At 36.5% G+C, this 11908-nt stretch overlaps 2 annotated features.

Annotated features, from left to right (window-relative positions):
* Window positions 9163-9664: an enhancer, noted in NCBI's record as "H3K4me1 hESC enhancer chr8:78791987-78792488 (GRCh37/hg19 assembly coordinates)". NCBI's record gives its function as "activates a minimal SCP1, AML or CMV promoter by ChIP-STARR-seq in naive H9 embryonic stem cells {active_cell/tissue: H9 hESC(naive)}" and the evidence as "EXISTENCE:reporter gene assay evidence [ECO:0000049][PMID:30033119]".
* Window positions 9665-10164: an enhancer, noted in NCBI's record as "H3K4me1 hESC enhancer chr8:78792489-78792988 (GRCh37/hg19 assembly coordinates)". NCBI's record gives its function as "activates a minimal SCP1, AML or CMV promoter by ChIP-STARR-seq in naive H9 embryonic stem cells {active_cell/tissue: H9 hESC(naive)}" and the evidence as "EXISTENCE:reporter gene assay evidence [ECO:0000049][PMID:30033119]".

The raw sequence follows: 11908 nt of genomic DNA on the forward strand, positions 1-11908 counted from the left end.
GAAATGGAGTGGAAAGTCAACAAAAGAAATTAGCATCAGTACTAAGGTCAGATCAGCAAAAGCCTCAAGCCTAAATTGATGCTGATTTCAGAAGTTACTGCCCACAGTTTTCTCAAACCCCTTCGTAAAAGACTATGATTGCTCTCTAAAACTCAGCTGAGTCTGAGATGGGGAGTGAATAGGCTCCAATATCAACATTAGAAGGAGGCAAGGATGGAAATCCTTATCCTAGCACATAATATACAAAAGATCTACTGCTTAATCCCCACTTGGCATTTTATTATTAACAAATATGAAGTACCATTTGCAAACCTGAAGACTCAATTTGCTCAGGACTCCCAGCATTCCAGTCCCAACTCAGGCCCTAAACACAAGACTTTCACCTCTGTTGCTATTTACAACTACAGCCATGTGCTGCATAATGTTTTGGTCAACAATGGACCATATATATGACAGTGGTCCTGTAAGATTATAATACCATATTTTTTCTGTACCTTTTCTGTTTAGAAATGTTTAGACACACAAACATTTACCATTGTGTTACAATTGCCTACAATATTCAGCCCAGTAACATGCTATACAGGTTTGTAGTCTAGGAGCAATCAGCTATACCATATAGCTTAGGTGTGCAGTACGCTACACCATCTAGATTTTTGAAGTATGCTCTATATTTGCACAAGGATGAAATCTCCTAAGGATACATTTATCAGAATGTATCCTCATCGTTAAGCAATGCATGACCTTATTGATAAAGTTAGTGTAATATTCTCTGAAATGAGCAAAGATGCAGGTTGCTAATTTTGAGTTGATCTCATGTTTTATTTTGTCTTTCCTTTATGTTCACCAAGTTATTATTTGTGATGCTATCAAATAATAAAGGAGCAGTTTAAGTTGGCTTCATAAAAAAGTTTGAAGGAAAATTTCATCAGGCAGTTTATTATAACTGTGATTTGTGAAAAATGAGCTTATATAATGTAAAAATTGACTATAAGAACTTATCTCAAAATTGGAAGCTTTTAACTATAATTCACTTGTTTTGAGATCTGATTGATATTAAACAACATTAATACATATTTAAATAGATTTCCTTTTTATCAGTAGACTTGTTTCTGTATAACGTGTTAGAATGTTATTAAAATCTCATGATTCTGAAGTCAACAAAATGATCATTGTAGCACAATTTTAACACATTATCCCTCTTTCCTATTTTATATATAGTCATGCCATGAGATTGTGTCCCCTTGAAGATATGTTGTATTCCTCTTTATATCCCATCAAAGTACTATCTTTTCCATGTTACACTTATAAAGTGCTTAAAACTATTAATAGTCTTGCATTGAAAAATCTATTAATCCTGCATATAAATTATTATCTAAATTAGGGGGGATATAGCAAATATACATAGCTATGTCAAAGATCTTTGTCAGAAAAAAATCTAAATTTAAAAAGCAAATACGTTTTCTGTGTGTAGTTCCAATGCCAATATATAGAGGAGCCAGTGATGGAATTAAAATTAATGGACTGACTTTAAAATATCTAACTTCTGACTTCAAGATTTCAGCAGAAGTATAAGAGGAGAAACACTTTAAAAGGTAGGCAAGAAGTGTATAGTAATTTTGTTTTTAGGCATAATTCAATTAACTTTAGATTAGAATCATTTAGTAAAAAAAAAAAAATAGACATCACCTTTTCATGTTTATTTAAAAATACATTTAAGCATTGGTTCCATGACCTGGAGATAAAATATGATTGGAGAAAGCAGAAACATAGTTGTATGTTTGGGTGATGTTAGAATCTTATAATTTAGAAGTTGGTAATGAGATGTTTATAATAAAACTAAGTAAATGGTTCACATAAACAAAGGGGTTTTTTAAGTTTGTTGTTACTTCTATATATTTAAACCATTAGAAAAAATAATATTTCTCTTTAATAAACTTTTTTTTCTGGACCCTTGCTTTGATATATGGTGCATTATATTGTAAGAGACCAATGCTCCAGTCTAGACTATTTTGAAAATCCAGGCATAGTATTTTAAGAAAAAAAAAAATATGTTTGAAGATTTTGATGAGCTGTCAATGCAATCAGGACTTGATGGGTAATATCTTGTAAAGCAGCAAATCTAAGAGGTGAGCCTATAGTTCAGATGTCAATTTTCTCTTGAGATAGTTTTCAATTGTAAGTATAATGATTGATCCCAAGAAGAGGGACAGAGACATGTAAATAAGGTCAAGGAAGCAGAAATTTTGGAAATTATATGGGGCTGGAGAAGGAGAAAACAGAGTTAGGGCTATCAAAGCAATCAAGACATATGAACCAATAGTTAAGAAATGATGTTCAAAGAAGTGAATCTGACATTCGATAATTTTGCTTCTAAGCATTAGATGAATACATAAACTGCACAGAAGAAAAGCTTTAGAAACTACACAAAATCTTCAGAAGGTTAGTGTTGAATACTATATAATCCCATGCTCTCAAAGACAGAAATAGAAATGTACTTCAGGACCTGCTCAAAAAGAAGGTAACCTGTAAGCATCATAGCCTTTCATTTGGAATCCCCGGAGAGCTATATCCTGATAGCTGTGGTAAAACAGAGATAAGTGGAAACTATAAAAGTTCTAATCCAGCCTTAATCAGTTAAATACCCAATGAATTAACGTAATTTCCCCCAAGTCTATCAGCCAACCAGAGGACAGGATAAATCCCCTTTGGAGAAGATTACATCATCAAAAACATCCATTATTTATCATACATAAAGTGCAACATTCAACGAAAAATTACTAGGTATACCAAGAAACTGGCATAAACACACACACCTACCCACATACACACACACATACACACACACACATACACCACACACTACTTACCACATACACACACAAAACAAATACAAACAACTACAAAAACAAGACAATAAAAACAGGCTTAAATTCAGAACTTATGAAATTTGAAATAGCTGTGATAAAAATGCTCAAAAAATATAAAATAGTAGGTCAAAAATTTCACCAAAAACTGAAATATATATAAAATAATCAAATGGATTATCTAAAATAATAAAATTAAATTGTTAACTTAAGGTAGATTTAGTAGAAGATGTGGCACAGTGGAGAAGAGAATTAAACAACCGTGAAATATTTGGAGTAAAGTATCCAGGATGATGCTCAAAAGGAAAAAATATGCATAAGAGAGCATCTGAAACAAAATGTGTAATTGGAGTCTCAGAAGAAAAGCAGGGAGAAAATAAGGCAGAAAGTAGAAACTATATTTAAATAAATACTGGCTTAGAATTTTAAAACATGATGAAAATATGAAGCTATATGTTCAATAACTTGTGTAAACCTGAAAAACAAAACCAAAGAATTTAGAAAGCAGATAGGGGAGATGAATACATTTTAAAAGCAGGTAGAGGGATAAAAATGCATTATCTTTAAAGCAGCAACAATAAGACCTGTAGCTGACTTGATCACAGCTCACTGCAGCCTCTACCTCCTGGACTCAGCTAATCCTCCCACCTCAGCCTCCCAATTAGCTGGTACTACAGGTGCACACCACAATGCCCAGCTAATTTCTGTCTTTTTTTTTTTTTGTAGAGATGGGGTTTTGCCATGTTGTCCAGCTTGGTTTCAAACTCCTGCGCTGAAGGGATTCATCCACTTCAGCCTCCCAAAGTGCTGGGATTACAGGCATGTGCCATGGGTTCCAGCCAAGTAACTGACTTTCAAGAGTAATGATGTAAAATAGTAATAGACCATACTATTGTAAAGAATAAATGGATAAAATATTCCAATTAAAACATCATCACATGGATAAAAAGATTTTTTAAAAGGCATGTTTGAAAACACTAGACAAAAGAAACCTGGTGCAATTTATTCCCTATTAGACAATGTTGATTTAAAGGCTTGATGCATAATGCCTGATACCTGCTAAAACAAAACTAAATTATTGCTTTTTGTAATATATAGTTGGTTTTTCTGTCATCAAATCAAATCAGTCAGAATTATATTACTAGCTAAGTTTTGACAGAACTTTTTCGGCTTCTGAGTCATGGTATAACAGAAGTCTAGAAAGTAGCACTTAAAGACTGATATACTTAAATTATTGAGAAATTTAGAATGATATCTTCATTTGTTTTCAGTTTATTGGATTTAGGGCATATCTCAGTGTAATGTAACTTTTCTAAATAATGTTATTGCACTAGTTGTTAATTCGGTACAGAAAGTAGCTAAGAACACAAGTTGTGAAACAAGAGCCATATTTAGAGTCCAGACCGCTATTTGTCCTTGCAACCTTGGCAAATTAGCTATCTACTGGAAGCTGTGGAGAATGTTAGCGTTCCAGGTAGTCTAGAAGAGGGTTCTGGCCACTAAGTGGGCATGTCCCATTAGCTTGCTAAACTTTTGTCCTGGTAGGGAGAGGTGATGCTTCAAGACATAATGGAGGGTTTCTCTAAAGCAGTTGATCAAGGCAAGTTGTTCCCTGGCCTAAGGTGGTGCTGTTTATTTAGAGCTTGTTAGGTTTTAATATTTCATGTTTATCATGTACCTTTTATTTTTGATAGCCCGGGGACAATTTCTGACCATTTAGAAATGATTACACTGGTGCTAACAAGAAGCAGATAAAGATATAGATGAATTTTTGAGATGTTACAAAAATGATTTTCATTTCTTTAGATGTGCTGCAAGCACTGCTATCATAGCATATCTCCAAACATTTGATGTGATTGTTTAATACTGTAGGGAAATAATATTTAAAGTATTGTAATAGCAAATATACCTGTATTACCACCATACTATTAACAGGAGCAGCACATGCCCCATAGTAGACATTTATGCTTACAGAGAGTTTTCCTGAATTAATCCAGAGTGATGACAAGTTTAAAATTCCAGGAGCTTTTTAGTTTAAAGAAATATGACATTAAAATGAGGCAGGAGAATCGCTTGAACCCAGGAGGCAAAGATTGCAGTGAGCCAAGTTTGCACCACTGCACTCCAGCCCGGGCAACAGTGCAAGACTCTGTCTCAAAAAAAAAAAAAAAAAAAAGACAACATATGAAGAAATATTTTATTCAAATGGAGATGGCAAGATTATTCTGTCAGTGGCTTTATTTTGCCAGCATTTAATGATACAATCAACACTCAATTTTCTGTAAGAACTTTTAATCATTTCAGTTAACCTGAGCTACATTTTGTATTTACTTTGTTTTTATCATTGTTATTGAATTTCATTGAAATTCCTTTTTGACTTTTATCCAACTTTGGCTCATGCTGGTTTTTAGCCCCGCACTAAGGCATGCCATTGCACACTTTAAAAACTCCCCAAATAGGGCCGGGCACGGTGGCTCACGCCTGTAATCCCAGCACTTTGGGAAGCCGGGGCGGGTGGATCACGAGGTCAGGAGATGGAGACCATCCTGGCTAACACGGTGAAACCCCGTCTCTACTAAAAATACAAAAAAATTAGCTAGGCGTGGTGGCAGGAGCCTGTAGTCCCAGCTACTCGGGAGGCTGAGGCAGGAGAATGGTGTGAACCCAGAAGGCGGAGCTTGCAGTGAGCCGAGACCGCGCCACTGCACTCCGGCCTGGGTGACAGAGCGAGACTCCGTCTCAGAAAAATAAATAAATAAATAAATAAATAAAATTCCCCAAATATAATTATCTTCCCTGTAACCTCCCTTCCTCTCACCTCACTAAGGATATATGTACAGGAGAAATGGAAATCACAGGGAAAAGCTACACTGAATCTTTCACTCCTTTTGGGAGGTGACAATAGAGAAAAAGAGAGTGGAACAAATACATATGTTTCATATAGTTCTTAATCTAGTATGAATAACAAAATGCGCTTATTTTTAAGTTACTATTGGCAATAAAGCATTGAAAAAATATAGTATAAGGATTTTGACTATCATTTTTTTCCCAAATTTCCAAAATTCTATGGTGTGACAATTTCCTTTTTATCATTTGAATGTTGATATTTATGGGAAAAATTAGTAGACCAACAAGGGATTACAAAAAGGAATTAGGTGCATATTGAGTTGCTCTGTAACTATTAAAAAGGAGGGGAAGATTTTAATCATGATAGAGAAATTTTTTACATATTATATAATTAAAGCAATTTTTTCAGGCTGCATTTAATTCCACAATACAATTCATACACATGTATATAATATCTATCTTTATCTATCTATTTGTATGTATCTATCTAGCTACGCATAGCTGTGCAACCAAAGTCACAATAGCTTCAGCTTTTGCTAGTTTTCTATGCTATTGCTTCAGCTCTTTCCATCAAATTTCAAAAAATTTGTTCCACTCTAGCAGCCTACACATTAAACTGGAGTGATGAGGTGTCAGTGAGATCTAGAAGACAAAAGGGTGTGTCTTATTGCAATGACAAGGTTGCCTTAGTAGTTTATGACTTGGTGAAATGTAAACCCTGTCTCAAGGATACCGATTATGTCTGTTCTATGCTACAGGCATTTAGCAATGAAGGAAAATATCCACTACAAATTTTTAATCTCATAAACATTATATAATAGTACAATATGAATTGATATTATCTATATATCTACACATACAAAAACAAACATATAGAAATGTTTGTACATATGCACCTGTGCATATGCATAGAGGTGTGTATATCAATGTATACATACATATCTATGTATGTATTACACATGTGTAATATATATGTTATATATATAAATATATGCACAGATATCAGAAGTAATAAGCACATTCAGAATGCAAAGGATGAGGCCAGTTGGAAGGACCATAGGTTATTTACATAAACTATTCTTATTTTCAACCCTAAGAAAAATGTTCAGATGATGAAGATTTATGATTAACAAAACTTGACAAAAAAGTGGGCTGCTTTGAGTAAATAAAGCCTACACAATTCTGACATATCAAAAATAATTTAATAAAAACAAGATTAAAATTCAGAAATCTCAAAAAGAATTTTAGAAAAACAAAATAAATTATGCAAATACTGTTCTCCTGTAGAATAGACAATGTACTCAACTGAATACACTTATGTTGCTATGTCTTAATATTTTAATTTTTAATTTTTTATTTTTTATTATACTTTAAGTTCTAGGGTGCATGTGCACAATGTGCAGAATTGTTACATATGTACACATGTGCCATGTTGTTGTGCTGCACCCATTAACTCGTCATGTACATTAGGTATATCAGGTAGCGTGATGCCTCCAGTTTTGTTCTTTTGGCTTAGGATTGATTTGGCAATGCGGGCTCTTTTTTGGTTCCATATGAACTTTAAAGTAGTTTTTTCCAATTCTATGAAGAAAGTCATTGGTAGCTTGATGGGGATGGCATTGAATCTATAAATTACCTTGGGCAGTATGGCCATTTTCACTATATTGATTCTTCCTAACCATGAGCATGGAATGTTCTTCCATTTGTTTGTATCCTCTTTTATTTCACTGAGCAGTGGTTTGTAGTTCTCCTTGAAAAAGTCCTTCACATCCCTTGTAAGTTGGATTCCTAGGTATTTTATTCTCTTTGAAGCAATTGTGAATGGGAGTTCACTCATGATTTGGCTCTGTTTGTCTGTTATTGGTTTATAGGAATGCTTGTGATTTTTGCACATCGATTTTGTATCCTGAGACTTTGCTGAAGTTGCTTATCAGCTTAAGGAGATTTTGGGCTGAGACGATGCGGTTTTCTAAATATACAATCATGTCGTCTGCAAACAGGGACAATTTGGCTTCCTCTTTTCCTAATTGAATACCCTTGATTTCTTTCTCCTGCCTGATTGCCCTGGCCAGGACTTCCAACACTATGTTGAATAGGAGTGGTGAGAGAGGGCATCCCTGTCTTGTGCCAGTTTCCAAAGGGAATGCTTCCAGTCTTTGCCCATTCAGTATGATATTGGCTGTGGGTGTGTCATAAATAGATCTTATTATTTTGAGATACGTCCCATCAATACCTAATTTACTGACAGTTTTTAGCATTAAGGGCTGTTGAATTTTGTCAAAGGCCTTTTCTGCATCTACTGAGATAATCATGTGGTTTTTGTCTTTGGTTCTGTTTATATGATGGATTACATTTATTAATTTGTGTATGTTGAACCAGCCTTGCATCCCAGGGATGAAGCCCACTTGATCATGGTGGATAAGCTTTTTTGATGTGCTGCTGGATTTGGTTTGCCAGTATTTTATTGAGGATTTTTGCATCGATGTTCATTCTTTAAAGAATGTTGAATATTGGCCCCCACTCTCTTCTGGCTTGTAGAGTTTCTGCCGAGAGATCCGCTGTTAGTCTGATGCGCTTCCCTTTGTGGGTAACCCCACCTTTCTCTCTGGCTGCCCTTAACATTTTTTCCTTCATTTCAACTTTGGTGAATCTGACAATTATGTGTCTTGGAGTTGCTCTTCTCGAGGAGTATCTTTGTGGTATTATCTGTATTTCCTGAATTTGAATGTTGGCCTGCCTTGCTAGGTTGGGGAAATTCTCCTGGATAATATCCTGCAGAGTGTTTTCCAACTTGGTTCCATTCTCCCTGTCACTTTCAGGTACACCAATCAGATGTAGATTTGCTCTTTTCACATAGTCCCATATTTCTTGGAGGCTTTCTTCATTTCTTTTTACTCTTTTTTCTCTAAACTTCTCTTCTCACTTCATTTCATTCATTTGATCTTCAATCACTGATACCCTTTCTTCCAGTTGATTGAATTGGCTACTGAAGCTTTGCATTCATCACATAGTTCTCCTGCCATGTTTCTCAGCTCCATCAGGTCATTTAAGGACTTCTCTCCACTGGTTATTCTAGTTAGTCATTCATCTAATCTTTTTTCAAGGTTTTTAGCTTCTTTGCGTTGGGTTCGAACTTCCTCCTTTAGCTCGGTGAAGTTTGATCATCTGAAGCCTTCTTCTCTCAACTTGTCAAAGTCATTCTCCATCCAGCTTTGTTCCATTGCTGGCGAGGAGCTGCATTCCTTTGGAGGAGTGCTCTGATTTTTAGAATTTTCATCTTTTCTGCTCTGTTTTTTCCCCATCTTTGTGGTTTTATCTACCTTTGGTCTTTGATGATGGTGACGTACAGATGGGGTTTTGGTGTGGATGTCCTTTCTCTTTGTTAGTTTTCCTTCTAACAGTCAGGACCCTCAGCTGCAGGTCTGTTGGAGTTTGCTGGAGGTCCACTCCAGACCCTGTTTGCCTGGGTATCAGCAGCAGAGGCTGCAGAACAGTGAATATTGCCGAACAGCAAATGTTGCTGCCTGATCATTCCTCTGGAAGCTTCGTCTCAGAGGGTACCTGGCCCTGTGAGGTGTCAGTTTGCCCCTACTGTGGGATGCCTCCCAATTAGGCTACTCAGGGGTCAGGGACCCACTTGAGGAGGCAGTCTGTCCATTCTCAGATCTCAAACTCCGTGTTGGGAGAACCATTACTCTCTTCAAAGCTGTCAGACAGGGACATTTAAGTCTGCAGAGGTTTCTGCTGCCTTTTGTTTGGCTGTGCCCTGCCCCCAGAGGTGGAGTCTACAGAGGCAGGCAGGCAGGCCTCCTTGAGCTGTGGTGGGTTCCACCCAGTTCGAGCTTCGGGGCCACTTTGTTTACCTACTCAAGCCTCAGCAATGGCGGGCGCCCCTCCCCAAGCCTCGCTGCTGCCTTGCAGTTTGATCTCACACTCCTGTGCTAGCAGTGAGCGAGACTCCGTGAGCGTGGGACCCTCTGAGCCAGGCACGGGATGTAATCTCCTTGCGTGCCTTTTGCTAAGACCATTGGAAAAGCGCAGTTATTAAGGTGGGAGTGACCCGATTTTTCAGGTGCCATCTGTCACCCCTTCCCTTGGCTAGGAATGGGAATTCCCCGACCCCTTGCACTTCCCAGGTGAGGCGATGCCTCGCCCTGCTTTGGCCCACACTTGGTGGGCTGCACCCACTGTCCTGCTCGCACTGTCCCACGAGCCCTAGTGAGATGAACCCGGTACCTCAGTTGGAAATGCAGAAATCACCTGTCTTCTGCATCGCTCACACTGGGAGCTGTAGACTGGAGCTGTTTCTATTCGGCCATCTTGGAACCAAGTCATATTTTAATTTTAAATAAGAAATACTAAACCTTTTTACATGAAAGTATTCTTTCCTTAATAACATCAAAATAGATTGAGTTAAAAAATGAGCTATCCCATAACTGATAAAACAAAGCAAAGATGCCTGACTTGCAATCAGATAATAAATAGGCAATGGGAAAAATATGTTCGTTCCAGTAAAATATTTAATTCACTTTTTTAGAATTTTAGAAGACGGCTTGTTCTTCATGTGCAAGCATGTTTGTGTGCATTATATTTAGGATTTGTGATTATACAAACAAAGTAAGTCGTAGACATCAATTGAAGCAAATAGAAATTATATTATTATTTTTGTTATTATAGCTGCAGGCTGATAAATTAACTTCATCTAGTCTGTAGGAAACCACTTAGCACCATGGAAGAGGTTGCTCATACATAAGACCTATTACTCATAAAGAGTTAATTTAGTCCCCATGGTGAAGCACTTTACTCTCACAAAGCTCTTTTTCTTCATTCATGTTCACCATAGGAATAGGCCAATTGATGATAATAATATACATCGCTGAAACTGCTGTGATGGATAAACATTTCTCCAAATTATCCAAATTAATTTCAGCAGGTTGCTAGATTTTCTACCTATGGATTTTTTTTTCTTTTTTTTTTTTTAGTTCATCTTTGTTCATATGAAAGATTTCCACAGAACAAAACAGTTCTCTCATACTTGCATGCCAGAACCTGGGCAAAAGTGAAAAGCTGAGGCATTTAAACATTGTAAAATGGGTCATTAAGCATGCACAAATATTTTGGCTATTAGCCTTCAGCTACAGTCTCTAGTTTTAAACATTGCTATTTCCGTCTTAACCCTCTATTCACAAAAAAAGTCATAATTAAATGTTACTGACTTGTTCTTCATATTGATCTTGAATATATGTAAACAGGCTCCTCGTAGGAAGGAGGTGTTTGTAATTCTAAGAGTATTTCTTATTACTCTTTTCATTTCTGATATTGCTAAACTTCCTTAAAATTAATTAATATGATTATATATCAAAGAAAACAGCACATCAGCCACCCTCGGTGTGAAGGTAGAAATGGAACTTTTCCTTTCACAGATGATGAGCCTGGTAGAAATTTTATACCAGGGATTTTCCACCCACATTTTCATCAACTGATTTAAAATATACAGTAATAATCAGAGTGGAGGTAGAAAAAAAAATACATCTTTTAACTCTGTGACTGTATTAGTACATTTTCACACTGCTATAAAGAAATAACTGAGACTGGGTAATTTATAAAGGAAAGAGGTTTAATTGACTCACAGTTCCACAGGGCTGGGGAGCCCTTAGGAAACTTACAATCATGGCAGAAGGGGAAGGAGAAGCAGGCACCTTTTTCACAAGGCTACAGGAGAGAGACAGAGAGAGATTGAGAGAGAGAACAGGGGAAACTGCCACTTTTAAGCCATCAGATCTCATGAAAACCCCCTATCATGAGAAGAGCATGGGGAAAACCACCCCCATGATCCAATCACCTCCCACCAGGTCCCTCCCTTCACATATGGGGATCACAATTGGAGATGAGATTTGGGTGGGGCACAGAGCCAAACCATACCACTGTTTTTTATAGTATAAATTGTCTTCTCAGTTTATTGTGAAGTTTTATACTTATAAATAAAGTACACTTCTATTCATAGTCTCAAAAGAAATGAGGTTGTGTCTAAGAACCTGAAGATATGAATAATAGAGAATGGTGTACCTACTCTCTTCTGTCTTTCAGGATTTGGGGTTTTCGTGAGATTCTGAATTCCAAAGAAACGCTGACATTTTTGTTCTTTTAATATATTGAATGGGAAAATGAAAATCCCAGTATATGTTGGAGATAAGCAT

This window comes from Homo sapiens, chromosome 8, assembly GCF_000001405.40.
Source record: "Homo sapiens chromosome 8, GRCh38.p14 Primary Assembly".
Lineage (NCBI taxonomy): Eukaryota > Metazoa > Chordata > Mammalia > Primates > Hominidae > Homo > Homo sapiens.